At 53.1% G+C, this 2,205-nt stretch overlaps 1 annotated feature.

Moving 5' to 3' along the window:
• Nucleotides 402–982: an enhancer, noted in NCBI's record as "H3K27ac hESC enhancer chr1:182408935-182409515 (GRCh37/hg19 assembly coordinates)". NCBI's record gives its function as "activates a minimal SCP1, AML or CMV promoter by ChIP-STARR-seq in primed H9 embryonic stem cells {active_cell/tissue: H9 hESC(primed)}" and the evidence as "EXISTENCE:reporter gene assay evidence [ECO:0000049][PMID:30033119]".

Genomic DNA, 2,205 nt, shown 5'->3' with positions numbered 1-2,205 from the left:
GAGGCCGTGGTGGGTGGATCACTTAAGGTCCAGACTCCAAGACCAGCCTGGCCAACATGGTGAAACCCTGTCTCTATTAAAAATACAAAAATTGTCTCCCTCTCCCTCTCCCTCTCCCTCCCCCTCTCCCCACGGTCTCCCTCTCCCTCTCTTTCCACGGTCTCCCTCTGATGCCAAGCCGAAGCTGGACTGTGCTGCTGCCATCTCGACTCACTGCAACCTCCCTGCCTGATTCTCCTGCCTCAGCCTCCTAAGTGCCCGCGATTGCAGGCGCGCGCCACCACGCCTGACTGGTTTTTGTATTTTTTTGGTGGAGATGGGGTTTCGCTGTGTTGGCCGGGCTGGTCTCCAGCTCCTGACCACGAGTGATCCGCCAGCCTCGGCCTCCCAAGGTGCCGGGATTGCAGACGGAGTCTCGTTCACTCAGTGCTCAATGGTGCCCAGGCTGGAGTGCAGTGGCGTGATCTCGGCTCGCTACAACCTCAACCTCCACCTCCCAGCCGCCTGCCTTGGCCTCCCAAAGTGCCGAGATTGCAGCCTCTGCCCAGCCGCCACCCTGTCTGGGAAGTGAGGAGAGTCTCTGCCTGGCCGCCCATCGTCTGGGATGTGAGGAACCCCTCTGCCTGGCTGCCCAGTCTGGAAAGTGAGGAGCGTCTCTGCCCCGCCGCCATCCCATCTAGGAAGTGAGGAGCGCCTCTTCCCGGCCGCCATCCCATCTAGGAAGTGAGGAGCGCCTCTGCCCCGCCGCCCCGTCTGGGATGTGAGGAGCACCTCTGCCCGGCCGCGACCCCGTCTGGGAGGTGAGGAGCGTCTCTGCCCGGCCGCCCCGTCTGAGAAGTGAGGAGCACCCCCGCCCGGCCAGCCGCCCCGTCCGGGAGGGAGGTGGGGGGGCCAGCCCCCCACCCGGCCAGCCGCCCCGTCTGGGAGGTGAGGGGCGCCTCTGCCCGGCCGCCCCTACTGGGAAGTGAGGAGCCCCTCTGCCCGGCCACCACCCCGTCTGGGAGGTGTACCCAACAGCTCATTGAGAACGGGCCATGATGACAATGGCGGTTTTGTGGAATAGAAAAGGGGGAAAGGTGGGGAAAAGATTGAGAAATCGGATGGTTGCTGTGTCTGTGTAGAAAGAAGTAGACATGGGAGACTTTTCATTTTGTTGTGTACTAAGAAAAATTCTTCTGCCTTGGGATCCTGTTGATCTATGACCTTACCCCCAACCCTGTGCTCTCTGAAACATGTGCTGTGTCCACTCAGGGTTAAATGGATTAAGGGCGGTGCAAGATGTGCTTTGTTAAACAGATGCTTGAAGGCAGCATGCTCGTTAAGAGTCATCACCACTCCCTAATCTCAAGTACCCAGGGACACAAACACTGCGGAAGGTGGCAGGGTCCTCTGCCTAGGAAAACCAGAGACCTTTGTTCACTTGTTTATCTGCTGACCTTCCCTCCACTATTGTCCTACGATCCTGCCAAATCCCCCTCTGCGAGAAACACCCAAGAATGATCAATAAAAAATAAATAAATAAATAAATAAATAAATAATAAAAATAAATAAAAATAAAAATACAAAAATTAGCTGAGGATGGTGGTGCATGCCTGTAATCCCAGCTACTCAGGAGGCTGAGGCAGGAGAATCACCTGAACCCAGGAGGCGGAGGTTGCAGTGAGCAGAGATTGCACCACTGCAGTCTAGCCTGGGCTACAGAGTGAGACTCTGTCTCAAAAAACAAAAAAACAAGAAAAACAAATGTAGTTTCAGTCTCCAAACAAGGAGGGAGTCAGTTTTAGGGAGGGACTGTTATCTTTCTTGCCTCAAAGTTAAACTATAAACTAAATTCTTCCCACAGTTATCTTGGCCTATGCCCAGAAATGAGCAAGGACAGTCAGCCTGTGAGTCTAGACGCAAGATGGAGTCAGTTAGGTTAGATTTCTCTCACTGTTATAATTTTTTCAAAGGCAGTTTTGCTGTGATTTGAATACCCACTCCAAGACTCATGTTGGAATGTAATATTGCCACAGTGACAGTATTAAAAGGTGGGACCTTTAAGGGGTAATTAGGTAATGATGGCTCTGCTCTCAAGAATGGATTAATTCCGTTATCACAGGAATGGATACTTAGTGAGCACTCATAAACAGAATGAGTTCTGCCCAATTTCCTCTGTCTGCCCAATTTCCTCTATCTGCCCAATTTCCTCTCTGTCTCTCTCAT

Source organism: Homo sapiens, chromosome 1 (assembly GCF_000001405.40).
Source record: "Homo sapiens chromosome 1, GRCh38.p14 Primary Assembly".
Lineage (NCBI taxonomy): Eukaryota > Metazoa > Chordata > Mammalia > Primates > Hominidae > Homo > Homo sapiens.
This window is presented reverse-complemented; position numbering and strand designations above follow the sequence as displayed.